Source organism: Homo sapiens, chromosome 1, assembly GCF_000001405.40.
Source record: "Homo sapiens chromosome 1, GRCh38.p14 Primary Assembly".
Lineage (NCBI taxonomy): Eukaryota > Metazoa > Chordata > Mammalia > Primates > Hominidae > Homo > Homo sapiens.
In genome coordinates this window covers 97,865,787-97,891,185 of record NC_000001.11, presented here as the reverse complement: position 1 = coordinate 97,891,185, position 25,399 = coordinate 97,865,787, and the positions used below count along the sequence as shown (strand labels likewise).

The 25,399-nt window shown below is 34.4% G+C and overlaps 1 protein-coding gene across 8 annotated transcripts in view; it reads left to right on the top strand.

The window, feature by feature from the left end:
* DPYD (dihydropyrimidine dehydrogenase) overlaps nt 1-25,399 on the top strand; it is an 843,317-nt gene that overhangs the window by 29,874 nt on the left and 788,044 nt on the right. For 6 of the 8 annotated variants that reach the window (XR_001737014.2, XM_005270562.3, NM_000110.4 and 3 more), the window contains 1 exon segment: nt 7,812-7,922. The exons of the other annotated variants lie outside the window; for them this stretch is intronic. Coding sequence is in view for 4 of the 6 variants with exons in the window: in XM_005270562.3 (XP_005270619.2) it covers nt 7,812-7,922 (111 nt within the window). In the remaining 2 variants the exon portion in view is untranslated. 8 annotated transcript variants of the gene reach the window in all.

Genomic DNA, 25,399 nt, shown 5'->3' with positions numbered 1-25,399 from the left:
TTATCTGTCAGCTGCTTAGTTATTGATGATATTGACTTTTAGTTTTTTAAAGTCTTGCTTTGGAAAATTATTTTTAACAGCTCTGAACCACTCATGTCTTGTATTTTTATTTTATATCACATTTCATTTGGGATATTATTAAGCCAAATCCTTGGTAACCATTTTGCACAATCCAATTTATTTTTACCCAAGATCCATTGAATTCAACTCACTGCCTTTTTGCAAAAGGTTAACCCAATATTTCATGTTATGTTATGCTTTCTACTTATGCTATGTGAAAGAAAAGTAGCTGTGATAAGTAGCCAATAAATTACATTCAGAATGTTTATTCTCAAAAGTTATATTGCTATGCTGACATAGATAAACATGATCATTTATCACAATATGGATTATGGAAATAAAAACTAAAATAAATGCAGCCATCTTTCTTGCATGTTACCTGGCTGGTTTGCTTTAAATGTTAGAATAACTACTTTAAAAAAATGTGTCTTTTTATTTCTCAATTTGAATTAATGGATGAGATTAGTAATGGTTGAAAACTGAATAGATAAGCAAACATTATATTCTGGAATAAGAAAATGTTTTCACTTTTTTTCTATAAGCATGAGATTACTTGAATCTTCTAATACTGGCTTTGTAAAATAGGTCCTGTTAGTATTATTTCATCATAAGGAATACACCACTTAAAATTAAAGCTTTATTGTATATTTTTCTTCAAAAAGACACAGATGTCTAACTTGAGAGACTGAAGAAATATGATTTCTGTAATATTTAGGAGTTACTAAAAATAATCTTGTTACATTTATATTGAGCTAATAAAGGAAGTTTTAGTGGTATTACAGTGAATAAAGTATATGGCTAAATCGACTGAATGTAGAATTTAATAGGGTTTTACTTTGGTAACAGCTTTATTGATATACAGTTCACAAATCAACAATTAACCAATGTAAATTATAGAATTCAAAGTATTTTTTAGTGTATTCAGAGTTGTGCCAATATAACCATAATCAGGTTTCTTCACCCAAAAAGAAATCACTTATCCTTTTTATAGTAGCCATCTCATTTCTCCCTAATCCGCCAGCCTGAGCAACCACTAATATACTTTTTATCTCTATAGATTTGCTTATTCTGGACATTTTATATAAATGGTATCAACAATATGTCATATTTGTAGTTGACATCTTTCACTTAGCATAATGTTTACAGTATTCATCATATTGTTTTTGAATTTTCCAAATTTCTTTCTGTTATTGATATCTAATTCTATTCCATTGAAGAGGGAGAACTATTTTGTATGATTTAATATTTTTAAGTTAGTAGAAGTTGTTTTTTCATCTAGCATACAATATATCCTAGAGAAGATTCCATATAGAGTTGAGAAGAATGTGTATTTTGCTCTTTTAGAGTGTTATATGGATGTCTGTTAGGTCTTGTTGATTTATAGTTGTTATTCAAGTCTTCTGTTTCCTTTTTGGTCTTCTGCCTAGTTGTTCTATCCACTGTTTAATGTGGAGTATTGAAGTCTTTAATTAGTATTGTTTAAAGATTTGTTTCCTTTCAAATTTGTTTGTATTTTGGGCCTTGTTGTTAGGCACATATATGTTTATAATTGTTATATTTTCCTGGTAGATTGAGCCTTTATGATGATAAAATGTTCCTCTTTATTTCTAGTAAATTTTTTTGTTTCTTTAAAAGTTTGTTGTTCTGATATTAGTATGGGCACTGCAGCTTTCATGCTGCTGCTATTTGCATGATATGTCATTTTCCATCTTTTACTTTCAACATATTTGTGTCATTGAATTTAAAGTGTGTCTCCTAAAGACAGAACATAGTTGCATCTTGCTTTTTATCTAGTCTGACAGTATACATTTATACTATTATAATTTCATAATTACCTATACTTTACTGTTGACCTTTGTTTTTTTCGTGTGAATAGTAAGTTATGGTTACTTACTTTCTGCCTGAAGAACTTCCTTTAATTTTATTTTTTTCACTTTTTATTTTCATTTTTATTTATCTATTTATTTTGAGACAGAGTTTCACTCTTGTTGCCTAGGCTGGAGTGCAGTGGCGTGATCTCGGCTCATTGTAACCTCCACCTCTGGAGTTCAAGTGATTCTCCTGCCTCAGCCTTCTGAGTAGCTGGGATTACAGGCACCCACGACCATGCCTGGCTAATTTTTGTATTTTTAGTAGAGACAGGGTTTCACCATGTTGGCCAGGCTGGTCTTGAACTCCTGACCTTGGTGATCCACCTGCCTTGGACTCCCAAAGTGTTGGGATTACAGGCGGGAGCCATCATGCCTGGCCAAGAACTTCCTTTAGTAATTCTTATAAGTCACATCTGCTAATAACAAATTCTCTTATTGTTTGTTATTCTGGGAATGTATTTTTTGAAAGATAGTTTTGTTGGGTATAGGAGTCATGGTTCACATTTTTTTTTCTTTTAATACTTTGTATGTCTTATCCCACTTCTCTCTGGTCTCTCTGGTTGTTAATGAGAAATTCACTGTTAAACTTATTGAAACTATTTTTACATGATGAATTATTTTTTTTTTGCTACATTCAAGATTTTCTTTTTGCTATTGACTTTCAGCCCTTTTACTGATGTTCTTTGTGTGGATCTCTTTACATTTAGCATACTTCACATTCATTGAGCTTCCTGAAGGTATAGTGTAATATACCTTGTTCTACTTTATTAAAAAAAAAATAAATCGGGCAAATTTTAAGCCAGTGTAACTTCTGTATTTTCTCCTGCTTTGTCTTTTCTTTTTCAGGTAATCCCATTACAGTATTTTGGTTTGCTCAGTGGTGTATCACATATCATTGAGGCTCTGTTAATTTTTCTTTATTCTTTTTCTCTTTGGTCTTCTGATTGTGTAATCTCTCTTGATCTGTCTTTAAGTTTGCTGATTCTTTCTTCTGCTAGTTCAAATCTACTATTGAACTCTAGTGAATGTTTCATATCAGCTATTGTATTTTTCAAGACCAGAATGCCTGCTTGTTGTTTTTGTTAAAATAATTTAAGTGATTTATATCTGTATATGGATATTCTGTACTCTCTAAGACATTGTCATCATACTTTCCTTGTAATGGCTGCTTTGAAGTGTGTATTAGTTCTCATGCTGCTGTAAAGAACTGCCCGAGACTGGGCAATTTATAAAGGAAAGTGGTTTAACTGACTCACAGTTGTGCATGTCTGGGGAGGCGTGAGGGAACTTACAATCATGGCAGAAGGGGAAGCAAACACATCCTTCTTCACATGACAGCAGGAAGAAGTGCTTAGCAAAGACGGAAAAGTCACTTATAAAACCATCACATATCGTGAGAACTCACTCACTATCATGAGAACAGCAGCATGGGGGTAACTGGCCCCATGATTCAATTATCTCCCACCGGGTCCCTCCCATGACCACATGGGGATTATGGGAACTACAATTCAAGATGAGATTTGGGTGGGGATGCAGCTAAACCATATCAAAGTGTTAAATTTGACACATGGGCCCTCTTAATGGGAGTTTCTGTTGTCTCCTTTTTTTGTGTGTCTGTATGGATCACACAATTCTGTTTCTTTGCATGGCTCATACTTTTTTAAATTGAAGACTGAACATCTTACATAATGTAGCTATTCTTGCCGGACACTAAACCCCCTCTAGAGGAGGGCGACTTGTTACTAGCGACTGGATATACTTTTTTTTTTTTTTTTTTTTTTTTTTAATGCAGAGTCTCACTTTGTCACCCAGGCTGGAGTAAAGTGGCATGGTCACAGCTCACTGCATCCTTGACCTCCCAGGCTCAAGCGATCCTCCTGCTTCAGCCTTCTGAGTAGCTGAGACCACAGGCATATGCCACCATGCCCGGCTAATTTTTGTATTTTTTATAGAGATGGGGATTCACTGTGTTGCCCAGGCTGGTCTTGAATTCCTCAAGCAGTCCACTTGCCTCAGCCTCCCAAAGTGCTGGCATTACAGACATGACCCATTATGCCTGGCCTGGATATACTATTTAGGGATGTACATTTTCCTCTGTGTGAACCGCTGATGTCATTCTCACAGGGTGCAGCCTTGGATATGTGCAGTCATTCTTGGGTGTCCCTGGTTTTATCAGGTGTCTCTTTGCCTTTTTCTCTGATCTCTCTCTTAAGATGTCTGCCTGTAGTAATGTCACACCCAGATCTTAGTTCCAGTGGCTTCTGGTTGATTTCTTTATTACTTTTGCTGTGGAATATGAGTTGTTCCACAGTGTGATTCAGTTAAATTTGGGCCTTTTTTCAGTGGTAGTTTTTGAGGTGAGTCCTTGAGGTTTTTTGTAACTCCAGGAGAACTCATCTTATGTTTCTTTCCCTGGGTTTCCCTTATGAACTACCTGCCTTATGGTTCAGTTTTTTGTTTTCAGGAAGCTACCTCCCTCTTCTTAATTGTTTGACATGAACATTTTTATTGTTTATAAGAGTACTCTTAGGTTTGAACTTCCCTGCATACAGGTTCAAATAAAGTCAGTTCCTTTGGGGGGACCTCTCTGTTCTTATGGCTTGTGTCTTCTGGGAAAAATCTCTGGGCCACTGCTCCAGAGCTGAGGATAGTGACAATGGCCCACTTCTCTCAGAGTTAAATTTCTGCTTTATGAGCAAAGTACTAGGTATAGGCAATAGCCTCTAGTCCTCTCAGCTTGCTCTTCCTTGTGTGCAATCTCTACCCAGTAAGTGAGGTGAGGCAAGGATAATCAGGGCCCTGGTGTTATTGGCATGATATTCCTGAGGTAGAACCTTGGCTCTATGAGTGGGGGCTGGATGGAGTAACAGAACTCCTGACCTGTCAGCTGCACTTTAGTCTCAGCTGCACTCAGTTGCAGTTTTGTCTCTGTGTAGCATGGGGGAGAGAGAAAATGAGAAATGCTGGCATCTTACCCCTCTCTGGGAGATACCATAGCCCTCAACTGGTGGCTGGGGTAGAGCGAGCTCTGTGTTTTGAGCTATACCCATCTGAGGTAGAATGACTGTCACACTGGACTGAAGTGGTGTGGGTTATACTTCAAATGCCATAGACCTTCACTCCTTTTACCAGTTTTAGCAGATTTTCATGTATTATTGTTTCTTCATTTGCTGTTTGCCTTAAGGCAAATTTCCAGAGACTTCAAAGAGTTTTCATTTTTACTATTTTTGCAGTTATATGTTTATTTTTATGGGAGTCAGTCTGCAGAGGTCCTTACTCTACCATTCCAGAGGTGACCTCTTAATGGTCATGTTTACTGGCTTGCTCAAGACAGGGTTTGAAATTAATTTTTCATTGAGCTACTCAGGTGCAAATTGATATTATTTAAACATGTGGTTAAAAATGTTTCCTACCTTATATCTCAAAAAGTGACTTTTAAATATAGCCCTCATCTTTGGATCAGGTTCAATATAAGTCCCATACTCAGAAAAACAGAGTTCCAATTCAATTCTTTTTGCATATTAACTGTGAGATCTTAAGCAGGTTACTTAATCACCCTCAATTTATTTGCTCATCCTAAGTATTGAGAGAGTAGTAGCTGTTTGTAAGTTAAGTTACATAATGGATGTGAAAGCTTTTGAACTTTTAAACTCTAAAAACTTAAAACACAAAGCATTGTTATTACCACTTTAAATCAAATGCAGAATGAAATGAAGTGACTTTTTCTGATTTTATTCTTGTCTAAGAATACTAAGTATAACATTTATTTTAGAAAGTCATTTATGATTTTTAAATTCTTCATATTAGCATGTGATACTCTTATAAAATCAGCTAAGATATCACCTAGAAAATGATTACTTTAGATATGTTGATTGTGGAATTACATTAGTAGAGGTGGAAAATAACATTTTTAGCTTGTGTCTGTTGTTAATAGTATAATAATTCTTTTATCTGTTCATTTATTGTGGTCTTTTTGATAGTTCTCTGTGGATCTCAATAAGAGTTCATTTTTATATGTGAAAATGATGAACATGACCCAATAATTTTTAAAGAATCATGGAATCTAGATTTGGAAGGTGATCTTGGATTTGGTTAAATCTAGTAGGAATTGCATTCTCAGGTCCCCTTCAAATTCTTACTTGGCCACTACATGAACAAATCATGGACAGAGGATTACTGTTGCACATAGCCTCTGGATTCCATTTTCACTACACTTCAATTTTTAGGGTTTTTGTAGTTTAGAAAACATGTTGTATCATGCATTTCATTTATTCTTTACTTCTGATTCAGGTGTTGCCCTATTTTGCATGTGAGGAAATCAAAGATCAAAAAGATCAATGGTTTACTCAAAGTTATAAGAGTACTAGGAATTAAAAATTATATTTATGATTTTTGAATTACTATTTTACAGGAATAAGCATATGCTACCTACCTGGTACTGTATATCATAAACTGAAAGATTTTTGAAAAGTCAGGAATCCCGCAACTCAACACATTCACAGTTTAGAAGGGAAGAAAATTCTTAAAGCAGCAGTTACTGTTTAGACTGAAATACTGTGGTAGAGATGTTTCAGTGATCTGAAACAGAAAAATGGATCTAGATTAGTTAGGGGTAACTTCATGGAAGAAGACTTTTGAAATGAACATCATTTAAAATGACTGCAGTAATGTCAGCTGGAATGATTTCTAATACAATCTCAGCTGCCACTTTTTAATTTATATCTGAATCCAAATCTTCCTCCATTAATTTCCACAGCCTTGGTTCTGTGTTAATACAAAACAAATTAAATCTCTCTTCCATGTGAAAGTTCTTCACCTACTGAAATACACTGTGTCTCTCCCAGATCTTTTCTCCAGGCTTTTCTTCAGCTGTTGCATCTAACTTTTCAACACATAATCATTATTGAAAGATGGTAGGTAATAATGTTAATTTGGTTAGACAGAAGCATGTGCTACTACCATGTTTCCTCCTCTCTGGTGAAATAATGGTATGTTGTTCATTATTGATTATATTTATTTGTTTTTCTTGAAGTTTTTCTTCTGGTCAAGAATTGCTTCTGGCTAATTAGTAGAAAATACAATAACAATTACTCGATTTATATTTTGCCCCATATTAGTCTATTAATGTAAGCTGTTTGAGAGCCATGCAACATTTTAAACATATATTTTAGCTTTTTGTCAATGTATAATGATATACATTGATATAATGATGTCATTATATCAATGATAACATTATTAGATTTTTTCTAAGACAAGTATATCTTCTCACTTTTTCCATATAAATTTTCATTGTATTAGGATTTTCCCATACTGAACTTTTTTTTGGAAAACCAAATATAGGATTCCTCACTTGATTTTATTAAACACAATCTTGCAAATTTGGGGTCATTCTTCTGATTTACATGTATCTTTTTTTTTTTGTGATTCCTAAGTTTTCTTTCCTGGCTAACCCTTTCTTTAGGGGCCTGTAAGAGGAAATCTTAGATAAAGTTTGATTCCTAAAAATGCTACCAGACATGGTGGCTCACACCTGTAACCCCAGCACTTTGGGAGGTTGAGCCAGGTGGATCGCTTGAGACCAGGAGTTCAAGACCAGCCTGGGCAACATGGCGAAACCTCATCTCTATTAAAAATATAAAAATTAGCCAGGTGTGGTAGCGTACGCCTGTAGTCCGAGCTACTTGGGAGACTAAGGTGGGAGGATCGCCTGAGCCTGGAAGGCAGAGGTTGCAGTGAACTGAGATTGTACCACTGCACTCCAGCCTGGGTGACAAAGTGAGAGAGACCGTGTCTCAAAATAAATAAAAATAAAATAAAAATAAGTTTAAACAAATGCCAACATATTTCCATATATTTACACATTGTTTATGCTGTCTTTAGAGTATCCTGGCTTTAAATCCTCGAACACAAACTCATGCAACTCTGTGTTCCACTTCGGCCAAGAAATTAGACAAGAAACATTGGAAAAGAAATCCTGATAAGAACTGCTTTGTAAGTACCACTGATACACTATTTCATGCTGAAAATTACCTCACTCCACACATTGTAAGGCAAGATTTTACATACACTTAGAAATAAGGTATTAAAGTACAGCCGTGATTTTAAAAATATTTTAAATATTTAATATTTGAAAAAGTTTGAAAGTGTATTTTTAATTACACTGCTTTAAAAAATCTCCTGAAATACAAATTATATACAGGTTGAGTAACCCAAATCTGAAAATTCATAATACCCAAATCTGAAACAAATCTGTTGTCAAGCATTTTTGATAAGGGATATGCAACCTGTAAATTTAGTTTGGTGCCAAAATTTCTTTTTTCAAAATCTTTAAAATTTGTTTTAAAATTGTTTTGCCTAATGACACAATGATACAGAAGAGTTTTCATGTTAAAGATATAGTCTAAATGAAGAAAGCTATAGATACACTGGTATCTGTGGACTTTAAAAATACACCCTCACAAAATATATGAACATTAGATGTTCTATGAACACCTAATATTTCCAGGTGAGGTGTAGGAGCAAAACAGCATTTCTCTGAGATTATTGCTAGAACTTTGTTTAACTGTATATAGGAGGTGATTATAGAGCTGAAACTGACACCATAGATCGGATATAAGTACAACCTTAAAGGTGATGTTAGAAATTCCATCTTAAAGTTATATACGTTTTTAAATTTTGAAAGAAATGTCTTTTTATCTGATTTCCCCAGATTACCCCAAATTAACATTCCCAAATTAATGAGTGAGACAGTAGTATTAGTTTAACATTAGCTCAATTGGAACCGTGTATATACTTTCTTATAGAATGTATGATTTTAGTTTATGTACTTCTTTCCTCCTTCTTATATTATGAACTCTTTGAGGATGGAAACTGAGGGTGTGTGCTCATGTGTGCTTGTATTTATCTAATTTTAAGTTTTTCTATCACCAGCCACTGGGCAATTTTTTTTGAATGAAAAAAGAAAAAGAAACAGAGAAACAATGTTACATGAAAAGATCCCATAGTCACTTAATTACAGACATGGATTTTGAATTCAGTTTTTCTTGTTCCAGTTTTGGGAGCTTTGTTTTCTATCATGATGCTTCTAGTAGAGGTCTCTAAAAGGAAACCAGTGTGATTCAGATTGTTCAAGGAATAGGCCACTTACAAGCCATGACGCAGTTTAATGATAAGAGCAATTGAATAACACTGAAAAAAGAATCATATAATTTTTTTATTATAGTTTTTTTTCTTTTTTTTATTATTATTATACTTTAAGTTTTAGGGTACATGTGCACAATGTGCAGGTTAGTTACATATGTATACATGTGCCATGTGCTGGTGTGCTGCACCCATTAACTCGTCATTTAGCATTAGGTATATCTCCTAATGCTATCCCTCCACCCCCCACCCCACAACAGTCCCCAGAGTGTGATATAATTTTTAAACTTAGAAAGCCCTTAAAGACTATCAAGCCTAAATCTCTAATTTTTAAAGGTCTGAGAACTATGATCAAGAGACACTATGTGACTTCCCTAATGTCTCGCATTTATAAGTTTTCAAAGTATTTATGGTCAGGACTTTATTTCGAAATGGAGACTTTCTTTATTTTGATTGCTGTTGTTGTTATTTTATGGAAATTAGCATTTGTATCTCATAATGTGATCCTATAAATTGAGTTTATTTTATCATTTTAAAAATAATAACCAAGGTACAGTGAGGTCCACTTTCTCTGTCAAATATATATTGACCCAAATATTTATAAAAGCAGTTTGACAATATCTTTGACAATATTCATTTGGACCTGTGATGCTATACCTAGGGATGCTATTTATACCTACGGATGCTACAAGAAGATACCACAGACTAGGTGGCTTAAACAACAGAGACTTATTTTCTCACAGTTCTGGAGGTTAGGAGTCCCAGATCAAGGTGATTTCTTCCAAGACCTCTCTCCTTGGCTTGTAGATGGTGTCTTCTCCCTGAGTTTTTCACTTTGGGTGTGCGTGTGTCCAAATAAGGACATCGGCTATATTGGATTAGGACATACCCTAATAACCTCATTTTAACTTAATTACCTCTTTAAAGACTCTCTCTCCAAATATAGCTACATTTTGAGATAGTGGGGGTTAGGACTTCAACATAAGATTTTTGAGGAGATATAGTTCAGTTCATAACAATACTTTAAAATTATCAAACACTTGCACCAGTAATTTATTTTCTAATAACATATCTGAAGGAAAGAATTAGGAATATAGATAAAGAATTAAGCACAAAGAGGATTATCTTAGGCATTATTTACTCAATGGAGACAAATGTAGGGGAAATCCCACTGAATTCCAACCAGTGGGTCATGGTTAAGCAAATTAGAGTAAATTAATTCAGTGGTATATTGTGCAGTCATTAAGATGTTTTTGAAATAATAATCTGGATAAATTCTATCTGCATTACATGGAAAAAGGATTTAACATCACTGTATTCAATAGTGATTGTGTACACTTACACATAACCATACCTTTATATATATATGCACAAAAGAACAAAAAAATGAAATATTAATATTGATTATATTTTTTGGCACTTTTGTATATTTCAGGTCTTCTGTAATGAGTATTAGTAGAAAAATAAAATGAAAGCTTTAGATCTATGTTAAAATAGTAATCTCGATTTATAAGATCAGATTTATTGCACTGATGTCTGTTAGTTTGAAGACTCTCTGTGACATTCATGAATTTCTCAGAGCAGTAAGGTTTATTCCCAAAAGTGAAATATGAAGCTAGGGTTGAAAGTTATTCTCGGTGTGGTTGAATAATGCTGCTCCTTACGTATTTGTTATTATCCTCTTCATGCTGGCATAAATAATTGAATGAAAGTGTCACCAAAACATATGGTTTGTTTTTCAATTCATAAAGACCCAAGTAGGATGCTGGAACTTTTATCCCCACTAGCTAGCCAGTAACCAGTAACTGATGAGATACGAAAAAGTTTTCTTCTTACCTCACTGACATCTCCTTCTTGTTTTTCTTCACTTCTTTGTTGATTATTTCTCCTCTCATCCCTAGATATTTCAGTGCCCAGAGCTCAAACTCTCTTTCTTTCTTTTAAAATAGTCACTACATTGGTTATCTCGTTATCTCCTTACTTTTAATACTATCTTTAGATTGAAGATTCCTTTATATTTCTAGCCTGCATTACTGTCTCTCTATCTATATATTGATATATATACATATATCTCTCTCTATATATAGATATCTATCTATATATAGGCTATATGTTTCTTATGTTCACTTACCCAAAACAGAGTTATAATTGGACTCAACAATTATAGAAGTTTTTCTTGAGGCATTATATAGTCCTCTCTTACTATCTGCCTTCTTCTTCCTTTTTTCTATTTCTTTGGTGCTCGAAGCATCTTATTTCAGGCACTGTATTGAATGCTACTCAGAGGTGAATAAAATCTAGCAAAATAAGTAGTCTAAAATCGTTTATTAAAATAGATACAAATTTTGTTTAATAAGTAAATCATAGGCTTCTTAGAAAATAAGCATGTGTTTGACCGGTAAAAGTGCCTTAAGAATGGCAGTTCTGAAATTATTGCCCAGGAATATCTTCACTTGGTAGTTTAATATTCTTCTAGTACTAATTGGAAATTCTGACTTCAGTAGGGGATTTAAACTGGCAAACATGTTTATACTGGTTAATGAAGCATGAAGCAGTTATTTCCAGTATATTTTAAGCAGGTGTTCCATAACTGCTGTTTATTTTTGCCATTTTTGAAAATGTTGAACTATCCTAATTACATAAATATTTTGCACTCATTTTTCCTGAGCAATTTTTGAAGACCAGAAAATATTACAAATCAGAAAACTTATGCTAGGTGAAAATTAAAAGGAAAGGCAGTTAAAGACAGCCAATTAGCCAATTATTAGACTTGTTTTTAAGAATTATAGCAAATTTGTTCTAAATGCATGACACATACAAGGTGCTCACCATAAAAAAAAATACAATGAGAATAAGCTATAATGTATATTAAGAATTTGCAATGCTTTTTGTGAAGTAATTTATTTAAGCTTCAGAAGCACCCTGTCAGGTATACATTATATTTTATCATCCATTCATAGATGAGGGAATTGAGGCACATGGAAGCATAAGAAACCTATTCACAGTTCCACAACTGAATGGTAGAACTAGAGACTGAACCTATGCAATTGCCAGAGAGCTCTTTTAGTAGAATTTTTTTGAATAAGGAAATAAAAGAAAATCATTGACTTATTTTCCTTGTAGACAATGAAAATAACTAAATAATATATGGGTTTTGATAATTTTTTTTTCTTGCATGAGCTTCACAATCTCAGTCACTCGTTTGTTTCACATTTATTGTCTGTGCCACTTGCCACATTGAAATTTATGTGACATAGGCCTTGCCAAGAAGTTCTCACATTGTTTTGAAGAAGACTGAAATACCAATAAATAATAATAATACTCTTTTGAAGGAAGAACAGTTAAGGCGTTTTAATGATCAGTGTGAGTTGATCATATTTGCCTTTAGGTGAATCAGTCTAGCTTTCAGTGTGGACCATGGATTTAATGAAAAGATGGGAGGCAAGGTCTCTGGGACTGGGTTTAGAAAGTTGGAAGACAGGTGATGAAGACTAGGAGGGAGGATGAGCTTGAATTGATTTAGGAGATAAAACACATATGATTTGGGAGTTGACTTTATGTGTATGTTTACTTGTTTATAGCATAAGTTGAGGGTAAATACTAAACTCACTTTTGGATTATTTGAGGTCTTGTGCCTGTGGATCACTGCAAAAGTTGAAGATTAGTAAAGGGTCTGGGATGGAGATAAAGAATTTTTGAATCATCAGGATATATGTAAATAACTAAAAGCCTAGGGGGAGAGTTACCCAGGAAGAGTGTGTAAAGTGGAAAGAGGGTGCAGGTTAGACCTTTGGGATTAGGGCAGAAATTAGAGTGAGGCAAGTGAGGCACTGGCCTGAGGTTCAAAATATAAGGGGCTAACAAAGACTCAGTAATCTAGAAAAACAATAATAATAATAAATATATATAGGCACACACCTTTTTCCTTTTGCCTCAGGCTCCAATGTGGCTCAGCATGGTACTGAACGTAGCATGGAAAAGGCAGGCAGAGATGAGAATTTAGCTATAAGCACTATGAGAGGTGAGATGAGAACCACAAGAGCATAGTAGGGGACTTCCATGGAGGAAGGATAGATTAATATGTTTTTCTAATAATATTTCTTATGTTCCAAATACGTTTAATTTTTATACTTTTGGAAATTATACTTAATGTTTGTCTTGTCTGCTGGCACCATTTTTCCTTCTCAAGTTTACATGGCTATTAAGAGATGAAATCCACTTAATTAGTACAACTAGCAGTCAATCTCATTCACGCTTTCATGGATAGCCAGCTACTGGGATCTGTTAAATTTGATGGAGAATATATGTCCCTCCATTGACATATCAAATTCACAATATGAATTTTTATTTTTAAGCTCCAAAGTAAATAAACTTTTCACCAGATACCCAGTAAGAAAGCAATACCTGTTCTACCCTTGCCTCCTGTTATATGATATTTGAAAATACTTTCTCAAGCATGAGCTTGCTTTTTTGATTGTTGACAATTATTTTCTTCCAAAAATAGACAGTAGTTGAGTTTCTGAAATAAAAAAATAAAAACAGATTCTTTGCAACTAAATACCTCTTTCAGTATGTGAAAAATGCAGTGTTTGTATAGAGCATGCAGATATCCAACTAGAAACTCAGGCATGCAAGTCACGTGACCTCTTTTATTTTCTTGTAACTGAACTTAATTCTATTGTAAGTATCTGTGAGAGTGGAAACCTGTGTGTCACTTGTAGTATTCATTTTTCCCTGCTTGTCCCCCTCACCCCTTATTTCTGCGAGCTGATACCTAAGTTTTATGAGGGTTGGTGGCAAGTGTGGGCTGTGAGGTAAGCCCAGCTGATTTTTCATGCCATCTTCCCACTGGTCACCATCATGGGGACTTTGGAGTCATCTTTCATTTTCATTCATTAGAACCCTTTCTATCCCTCACTTCTCTACTACTTTGAAGCCATTCTTGAAAAGATGACAGTCATTCTGATGTTCCACTCAACACTGGGGTTCAGAGAAGTTCATGGTTCAATCTACTCTCCCAGGGCTTCGTTTGTCGAGTCACAGATTCTCCATCTTTCATTTACCCACACCTGGTATTTGTCAGCCCTCTGAGAATAGCCTAAGGAGCTGGGCATTGATCCTCTTTCTCCAAGATCTGCCAATATCTCTGGGCCCTTCACTTTGCTTTTGGTCCTCATTTTGTCTCTCTGTCCATTAAATATTTATATAGACTGGGTGGGAAGGATGGGAGTGGAGGAAAAAAGTTACTTTTAACTTATCACCCATTTCCTCCTAAATCCACTGTCAATCACTGAAGTCCTTTCAATTTTTCTGAAAACGTGACTTCTAAAATTCTAAGTCCAAAAGAAACACCCTTTGTTTCTCTGCTTTCTGTAGTTATATTATTTCCTTCAAGAAATGAAAACCCAGTGGCTTCTCTGCCTAATAGGTATAAATTTCTAGGTGGAATGGGAAGGGATGGTAGCAAAACTACAACCACCTCATAAAGACTGATTTTGAATTTGAATTTATCATGAATGATGATCATCTCCTGCCCTCTATCCAGCAAGTTCTCAAATGAAGGCTGTTGGAGTGGGGAGAGATGGCAGAGTAAGTTCCTATTTGGGATGGGAAAGATTATAGAAAGGTAGGCGAGGGCAGGCAATGCCAGAGGAACCCCATGTTGGGAAGCTGGGACATTACTTGCGTGATCCTAAAACTGAGTGCCAACTTAAATGTAGTGCCTCAGTGCCTCACTTACTTCACCCTGTTACTGGCCCAAAGGGCTTCCACTGTCCTGGAGGTACCAGCCAGCCTCAAGACCCAGTAGTGTCTCCACAGGTGTTTAAACTTCAGTAGCAACTGCAAAACCGCAGTAGCGACCCAGATGGATTTGGATGTCCAGGTTGAGTCAGAAGTACTTGCTGGCTCACTCTGTGGGATTTCCTGGTCATTACATTAACTTCTGAATTGCACTACCAGTCATGACGCATTATTGAGTGTTTTGGAACACTTGATAATGGTATGATTTTACTGTGAATAATATATTACTAAATATATTATTATTTTCCTATCCCCAAGTTAATTTAACTCAAAATTGGTAGACATTTGAATAAAGAGATCAGTTTGCCTATGACATCTTGATTTGAGAAAAACCCCGTATTCAACTAGTTCTGCAAGTAAATTATGTAAACATAAATGGCATACATACATTTTAAAAACAATTTTCCTGTGGCATTTGTTGAGAACATTGCAATGAATTAGAAAAATAAAAGTTTACTTTGAAGTAAGTATATTTTAAGTGATCATTACTGGGCAATAGCTTTCTTATTTCTAACAAATGTTAGATATTATTAATGTGTAAATTTAATAATTTTGCGTGTGTGTCTTAGGAAAATTAAAGAAAATAACACTTTAAAGAAAATGCGAGCTTAAAATTTCAGCAGAGGGAAAAAAATTAGAGAGGGAAAAATATACTGTGAAATGTGACTACCTAGAAATCCCTTCAGAGTATAAAGCTCATTTACACATATTGTAGACCTTGTAATTTTGAAGTTGAGGTGGAGTCTTTCATTGTATGAATTCTGACATACAACAGGTATTTATTTTAAAATAATAACTGGCTGCTTATGCAAAGGCATTTTGGGTAGAAAGTTTAGAGTCTAGTTGTAGATTTCAAGATGGGAACAGTGGAAAATCTCAATTATGCCTCTCTTGATAGCTACATTCACTCCATAGTTTTAATGCCCATCTATGTGTTTATTAACAGCCAAATGAATATCTCCATCCAAGATCCTGTCTGTATCCAGATGATTCTTATGATAGTTCCACCTAGATATTGTATTGGTTTCTGATTATGACTATGTCAAAAACCGAATTATTCATGCCTATTCCTGCCTGGCTTTTCTTTTGCTATGTTGGTAGCAAAAATAATCACTTTGTCATCTAGGCAAGAAAACTCAGGGCAATTCTTGACACTAAAAATGCTATTATCAACAACACTGTATTGTAACTAACATAGAATAAAAGAAGACTCAAATGTATAACATACATTCATTTAATATTTTTATGCCATTTGATTTTCATTTCTGCATGAAACAATGAATCATTATGTCATTGTGGTACTTGCCATATTTGATCAATTCTCTGATGCATATTTTATCACAGTTTCACATCTCTGGAATTAAGATTCATTTTATAGTTAATCTGATAAGAAAGTTTGTATCAGTTTAATTAGCAGTTTTTTGTTGTTGTTAGTATATAAAAATAACATATCTTAAAAATCTCTGTTGTCTTTGGCACTATAAAATAAAGCATGTACAGAGAGAAGGCAGAAAATATTTTGACCGAAGCAAATGTTCTCCAATTTTTATTAATGTTGTTGGTAGATGTGATAGCTTTCCATAGCACTGGAAATTCATGAAAAGGAAACTCTTTGAAAATAAAAACATAGGTATATGAACAATAGTCCTAGTAACTGCAAGATTGCAGTTCAACTTAGTTTAGGATAATTTTGTCTTGTATTTCCAGAATAAAAAGCAATTCCTCTGAGTGTCTGAATCACATCATTTTTAAGGATTCTCAAATATATTATTTTCCTGTCCCAAATTAATTTAACTGAAAATATTGGTAGACATTTGTATAGAGAGATCAATTTGCTTATGGTATCTTGATTTGAGAAAAACCCTGTATGCACCTAGTTCTGCAAGTAAATTATGTAAACATAAGTGGCATAAATGTTCATGATTTGTAAAATATTTGTAGTTCTCCTTCCTTATGAATTTATGATATGTTTAATGTACACAAAGCATTTTTGAGTATCTGATACAAATACCTAATTTAGATTATATGATTCAGTTTCTCATATATTCTTTCCATCTCTGTGCTGAGAAGCAAATACATTTCACTCATTTTTTCTGAAGTTCTATGATGTAGGGAGTGCATCTAACAAAGGATTTAGCTGTGTGACACAGTGCTGTACTCTGTAACAGTATCTCAAATAATACCGGTGATAATGGTGATGATGAAGACAATGAGGATGGTGGATAGTGAACCAGGCTGTTTATAATAACTAAATTAGTTGATGAACAACTCTATGAAGCAAATATTACTTCATGCATTTACTCCTTATACTCCCTTTCCTGCTTTATTTTTCTTCATAGAACATATTGCCATCTAACATACTATTTTTCATATTTTACTTGTTTGGTTGTTTAGTCATTTTCTCCCCACGAGAATGTAAGGTCTGTGAAGACCTATTTTGTTCACAACTGTATCTTCAGCTCCTGAAATAGTGCCACACATGTAGTAAGTATGCAATAAATAACAATTGAATATTTACTGAAATCTTAGTGTGTGTTAAACACTGCTTTTGGTGCTGAGAATACAACTGTGTACTTTACTCTTCCAAAACTTATATTCTGGTGGATGAGAACTATTACTGTTGTTTTGTTAATTATTATGATTATAATCCTCTTTTTATTAATGGGAAATACGAAGCTTGGTGAAGATAAGTGAATTGCTCAATCTACACATATATAAAAATGTATTTTGATATTCTTTTGAAGAATTTTTATGTAAGTTTTATCTACTAACATACACCTAGATTTCTGTAAGAATACAAAGTATACCCTGAAACAGCAAGTAAAATATGAAGCTATTGATTGGTTTCCGTTGTTTATATATATATATGAAGTATGAACTGTGAGTATTATCTCCTGAATATTTTTGGGCATTAATTCAATTGCTGGAAATAAGTTACCTTCTGGAGTAATGAACCCCCTTAAAGAATTAATTTATTGCATCACACTTTTCAGTATTTCTGTAACACCACTACATATAAATTATTTCACTTTGAAACTTATATAGTATAAATATTTGAATCTAAATTGTACATATTTATTAATTACTAAATATTAATGGAAGATCTAACATGTTCCAGCCACTGTGATAAGTCATGGGAAAGGGACAAAACGGTTTTTGCCCAGACAGCTAAGTGGGCATTTGCACAGGTGTTAACCTCATTTCACGATCAAGTTTCGTCAGTACAGCCTTCCATGGGAGTTACAGCTGAAGTACTGTAGCCTGGTCTCAGAATTCAAGGTTGGCCTCCCTGAGGAACCAGAATTTAAACTGAAAATAAAGATGAAGGAGGGAAGGAAGGAAGGAAAAAGAGGAATTTCACGAGAGTAGAAAACTTGTATCTGAAAGTCCGAAGATGGGGGAGCATACTGATTGAAGTTAAGGGATTGAAACGGTGTCAGTACTGCATGGCTGAAGTCGTAGACTGGAGCATGAAGAAAAGTACCAAGAGATGATGCTGAGGACCTCTCCACAGAGTAGTGACAATGATGATGATGATAAATATTTTTTTCTCGAAAAGTTCTATAGTCTGGTTATTTCATTGAGAAGTGCATGTTATATGTTAAAAAGGCACATTCTTTGTTTGTGATATGCTGTAATTTAGAGTTTTGATATATATTAGTATCCCTCTTTAAAAGTATGTTTTTTCCTAGTGCTTCATTCCACACATGGACCAGTGTTGTCAGAGATTTATTCTCCAGGCAGAAATATGTAATAAGATGATAATTGACTAAAAAGAAGAAAAGTGTTAACTCTTAATTTCCTGAGGCTGTTACAAAAATGCTTTGCTTTAATTATTTATTTCAGACTGATTGCAACTTTCTCCACATCCATGTGACACACAAATTAAACTCGTTTGTAATTGTCAGCCATCAGCCTTGTTACTTTTATTTTGTTCTTCACTGGTTTGAAATTTTAATAATGGTTAAGCAGGGTGCTCTATTTTTTTAAACAACTTTATGGTTAATGGAATATAGTTATCTACTCAGGGTTTAAACTGAACTGGAAAAAACTTTCCCCTGTGTAAGGTATGTTTCAATTAGCTTTATTTGCAAAAGAAGAAAAATTTTCCCTTCACAGCTTCCTTATCTTTGAGGTTGGGTTTTTATGAGGGCAGGCAGTGGAACCCAAAGAGCTCAGTTGTCAGTAGAGAGTTTGGTTAAGAGAGTAAGCTCTAGGGATAATCTGCTTAGCTCCAATTATTGGTTTTGCCATTTACTAGAGTATGACCTTGAGTAAATTTCTGATTCCATTACTGTCTCCATTTCCTCATCTCTAAATTAAGAGAATAATATCTACCTGATAGAGTAAATGAGTCAATGTGCATAGTATTCTTAAAATCGTGGTTGGCATATATATAACCTTATGTAAGTATTATTGCTTATCATTATCAGCATTTATAAGGGGGATGCTCCGAGGTTTCTGTTACTACATATGGAAGCACATCATGATAGTGGATAGAGAACAATGTATATGGAAAAACCATGGAGAAGTACTGAGCAGCAAGATACTGAGGATGGTAATGGAAGACAGAATATTTCCTCTATTGCCCAGAAATTTCCTAGTAGCATATTTCTACAGAAACAGAAAGAAGAGAGAGAGAAACAGCCACAAAAATTTTTTTGAGCACTGTCTTATATTTGCATATGGATGGATTCTTTTTCTGTGATTTTTTTTTTTTTTTGCCTGTATTTCTCCCTTCTCCAAAAAGCCTCAACATGATGCCTTGGTCTTGGAGAATTTTTATCATAGGATAGAGGTTTGTATTGTCGTGGGGAATTCCACTCTGGCCGAAGCTCTCTTGTGTGAGCTCCTGCAGGGCTACTAACTGCTAACCTGAAATGTGTTCCCTCTCTTAGAATGGCCCAAGAGTGAAATATTTATTCTCCGTGTCTGACAAGGAAATTTCTCTTGGGAGAAGAAGTTGTTCTTATAGACTACGTATTAGTCCAAGAATATTGAGAAGGGATCCAAAAGATCTGGAACCAAATAGATTGAATTTGTTTACACAGAAAATCTTTGCATAATCATAAATATTAAACTGGAATTGTATGATGTATTATAGGTCAATAAGTAGTATATAATAAAGCAGATGTGTGTTAAGACTATTTCTATGAAAACAAAATATGTATATTTTAAAAGATATTAATGAAGCATATTACTGTATTTGCAAATAAGAAACATCTTTGCATATGGGAAAATACAGTGCTCTGAACAAAAGAAATCAGCAAAATTGTCTTTAGAGTCTAATGGTATATTTTACCTTTGCAAAACATTTATTTGGTGCTCATAGCAAATAAATATGTGAGTTTTGCTGTTTTCCCGAATGGGCATACAATGGCAGCTGTCTTTCTAATCGTTCCCCTATTCAAACACTAATCGGTGGAACCCACGTAAAATGCTAGAGGCCTGAATAGGTAGACAATGGCAGCAGCGTTTTTAATCACAGTCCTATTCATGCACTAATCGGAGTGATGATTAAAGGACATTAGAGGGAGCACTTTGACATCTGATCCTTTGAACTGACGTCTGTGCAGGCTGCACTCCATAGAGCTCACTTGGCCAAACTGATTTCCTTAAATAAAGTGCTGTGATTTCCAATGTAGGAAATATTACATTAGAGCCTATTGAAATGATTAGGAATTGAGGAGCTTTTCTTTAGGTGGGAATGTGGTGTATGCTGTATACTCACAAAAGTGAGATCATTAATATTGCATGTACTACTTTGAATATCAGGGACCACAGAGAAATAGCATGAGAAACGCCTTCCTGCAGTCATGCACTTAAAATGAATATGAACAAAAATGTGGAACTCTGCTGTCATAGCTCTCCGTTATTGAAGTTTATGAATTTTGAAATATTTGTATTTTTATATAACACGATAAAGATCCACACATCCTAACTGCATTTCATATTTTTGTTTTCATTAAGCCAGGATATTTTTAATGTTACCTATCTTGAAGTTGCTTTAATTACAAAAAAAATGTGTTATACCCTATTTGCATGGTCATGCTTTGATTCAGTAGTCATTAGTGAGACAGAATGGAATATTTTATTTTCTCTTTTCTTTCAAATTTCTAATATCTATTTAGATTTTACTAACCTATTCCCCAGAATATTTCATGTGATTTATCCTAAAAATGTTAATATCTATTCAGCATTTGCAAATTGAATCAGTAGTTAAAATTCCAACATCAATATTTGAATATGGAGCTCCAAATATCAATAACTGTATATACTACATTTATGTGTAATGTATGTAGGGGAAGAAAAACCTTTTCCTTTAACCTCTTATGTTCAGTGGCTGGGGCATGTGAATTAATCTGACAGAAGACAGATTGACAGGAAAACATGCATACACATTGTATTTGATGTTCATATTTTAATTTATATGTGCACAAGACCTTCACATGAAAGAAATGAAGACAGAAAGAAGGAGTTAAACCCAGGGGCTTACATACCATTTTAATAAAGGGAGATAAATCGTGCAGAAGTGATAACACAAAGGAAAAGGGGTTTGGGATTCTAGGGGTGATAAATTGTGGGAAGATAAATATATGAGGGATACCAATGGAAGATAAGGGCTATTTTAGCAAGGTTTGTTTGTGCAAATCCATCTTGGTGCCAACTTTCTGTATCCAGTGATAAAGGATTGTTCTCCTCCTGGTATGGAAGAAGGGAGGGGAACACCTTCACAAAAGGAAATTTATGTCTGCTTTTAGGCAGATAGGGAGAGAGCAAAGAGCAAAGAGCTCTTTCTGCAGTTTGTTGTTTCTTAAGTGCTTTCAGCTCAAAATGGTCCTTATACCAAGGTGACATATTTTGCGGTGACATTCTGACCCCCTCACATACAGCCTCTTTGGATTGTTTCCTTTGTTTATTATATTTCTTATTTATAGGATTCTTTCCTAGAAGATAGGAATATTTATCACAAATTCTGGATAAATTTGACTGTGATGTATACTTCTGAAGGTACCTACCACACAAATCCACAAGTTTATTGGCATAGACCCTTGAAGCTTTCTTTGTACCACCTAACTCTGGCCCTCATTCTGGCCACTTGAATCTGATGGAGAGAACTGACCGAGGCTGGGGAAATCAGATTCTCTCCTAGATATCTATGACAAGAGATTCTTTTTCATTCTGGGCTGTTTGAGCAGGAATAAAATGAAAGCTTGGTGCTGCAGGGTGGCCATTTTCCACTTGCAACATGTACTGAAAATCAGAAAAGGCCAGGCTGAGGAGAGAGAAGATAGAGGCAGTCATAGAAAAAGAAGCTGCGCAGGTTTCTCATGGCTTTGTGTAGGGAGAGTTTTGCAACTTTGTGTTTTGTGAGATACTCTTGGATAGACTCTTTTTATTGGCTTAAACTATGTAAATCATGTTTGAGATATAGACAACCAAAAAATCCTAAGGAGCACAGTGGTATATGTCAAGTTTTAATGACCTAGATAGAGGTGTTTTATTTTTATGGGATATGTTAAAATTACGATTAAGTTGTGTGAGGCAGTAGGGTATAATATAATCAGCTCTGACTCAGAGACACATGCCCAAACTGAAATCGTCTCTACATTTACTAACTTGATCTTGGGTGTGATTCTTCACCTTAACTAGCTAGCTCTAGTTTCTTTCACTGTTAAATAGAAATCTTGATAATTATGGTAATCTAACTACATTATTTTGAGAGTTAAATGAACTGAGGAATTTTAAAAGGGTATAATACAAAGTTTAGCACATGGTAAATGCTCACTAAGTAGTACTTTTTATTATTAATATTTTAGTTTTACCTAAATATTGGTAATGACTGGTAATTGGTAATTCAGATGATTAATCATTTAGCTTTGATTTCTTCGAATAATATTTTATCTTTTAGTAATAAATTACAGATATCATTTGAAGTCTTTTGTGATAGTTCTTGTTATCAAGATAGTATGTTATCAAGAGTGTATGTGAGAACCCTTCCTTTATGGCCTACTGTGGCCCCATTTGTCAAGGTATTTAATGCCGTTGACTCCATTTAGATTCTGACAACTTTTACACTTTTTGTTTCTCTTCTTCAATTGTTTTCTTCAAAGATTTATGGTTTTCATGATATAAATAGTTTAACTCCTTGGAAACATTTGTTCTTAATTATATATTTTTTAGCTACTTGTAAATGGGATTGTTTTCTTGATTTCTTTTTTTTTTGGGTGGTTTATTGTTAATGTGTAGATATGTTACTGAATTTAGTATGTTGATTTTGTATTTTGTAAATTTACAGAATTTGTTTATTAGTTTGAACTATTTTTGGTGTTGGCTTTCGGGTTTTCTATACATAAGACCATGTCACCTGCAAACACACAACTGAACCTTTTCCTTTACGTTTTGGATGCCTTTTATTTCTTTCTCTTGCCTAATTGCTCTGGCTAAGACTTTCAGTACTATGTAAAATAGAAATGGTAAAAGTGGGTATCCTTGTCTCGTTCCTGATCTTAGAGGAAAAGCTTTCAGCTCTTCACCATTGAATATGATGTTCGTTGTGAGCTTGTGATACATGGCTTTTATTGTGTTCACGTACATTTTTTCTACACCTAATGATTACAGTATTTGTATAATGAAAGGATATTCAGTTTTGTCCAATGTTTTTTCCTGCATCAATTGAGATGATCCTATGGTTTTTGTCCTTTATTCTATTAATGTGGTATATCACACTTATTGATTTGTGTATGTTGAACCATCCTTGCATCCTGGGGGTAAATAATGCTTGATTATGGTGAATGGTCCTTTTAATGTGCTGTTGAGTTTGGTTTGTTAGTGTTTTGTTGAGTAGTTAATTTTGCTTTTTCATTTACCTAAAGGCTTCTACAACTCAAATCTTTCCTTCATTTCAAAGCAGTTTTCTTCTCGTATCAACAGTGGCATAACCCACAATTATTCATATGGTTCTTCCTTTTTTGAGTACATAAGACAGAAGATGTAGAGGAGTGTTCACTGCAGACTGAACGGTTGGTTATGAGAACTGAGGTCCAGAGTTAGGACAGAGTTTAGAACTACGTGAGCTCTTAATACCAATATCAGACTGACAGAAGCAGGCACTCGTTTAATAAATTTATTGTGTTTATGTTTGAGATATGGAGGTTCTCTAAAGTGACCCTCTGTTATCCATGTCTAATGACAGTATTGAACTCTAATATTCTCCTATCTGATGTCTCTGCCTCTCCCCTTGTCCTCAGACATTAAAAAAAATGCAACTGTATTATTATTTTGAAACCTAAAATAGATTATGTTTTCCATTGTCTTCCTGTGTCACTCAGAATAAAACCTGGTCCTATTATAGCCTACAAGCCCCTATCCTCATCTCCTGCTGCTTGTTTTCCCAGGCTCCTAGTCACTGTCTTCTGGCTTCCTTGATTTTTCATGAACACTTCCTGCGGCCTTCTGCCTCAAGGCATTTGCACTACCTTTTCTTTATGTTGTTTTATATACATACTGCACTTCCTTACTTTCATCACATGCTAGCTACTCAGTGTGAATTTTCCTAACACGCAACATCATATGTAACATTCATCATCCAGCATTCCTTATTACTCCTAACCACATTTTATTTATTACTCCTGACTACATTTTATTTTCTCTACAGAATTTATTATCATCTCTATCTTTACTGTTTTGCCTAATGCCTCTTTCCGTCTCTAGGGTTCAAGTTTCCTGAGAGCAGTAGCTTAGTCAGTTTTGTTCACAACTGTAACTTCAGGGTCTACAACAATACCTGGCACCTCGTGGCTACTTAAATGAATGAAACAAAGATTCCAGAGACTAAACTATGCTACTATCTCAAATCTAATCAATGATATAAAAAATACAGTCACACAATATAAAAATTGAAGTTCACATTTAAAGTTTGGTTTTTCAAATTCATTTGCTTCTTTAAACACATCCATCAGTATCTGTTGTCATACCTCTAACTCATTAACAGAAGGCCAGTAAAGAAGCTGTCTTGTGGAAGCCATGCTTAGCCACCACATGAGTAATTGCTCTGCACGAGCCGTCCTGTGGCATCTCTCAACTGAACCGAAAGTCTTCCACTTCAAAGTCTATGGCAAGGTGGTTAGGAGAATGAATGGAAAATAGAGGTTTATTTTAGATATACTTTTGGAATTAGTTTTTGAGGATTTATCCCAATGCTAAGTAAGGAAGTTATCTGTCTGTGGCCATGTAACTGCATGCATTTCCATCTCTTCTATTATCAAATTAGAGAAAACCTCACAATATAGTAAACTCTTCTTAATTCAAAGATAATTTGAGTTACTAGAGGGTAGGGAATTGTGTCTTAGTCTTCTTTGTTTCACCTATGTGTATATAACCACTTATAGCTCAATAGTTCAATGAATAATGAAAAAATAGAAGTTGTATTGTATATATTAATTTCAAATATATGCCAGTGTTGATATTTTCAATTCATTTAGGTACTTGTTTGTATTAGGCTTCTTTTAAAAACCTGGGGTTTT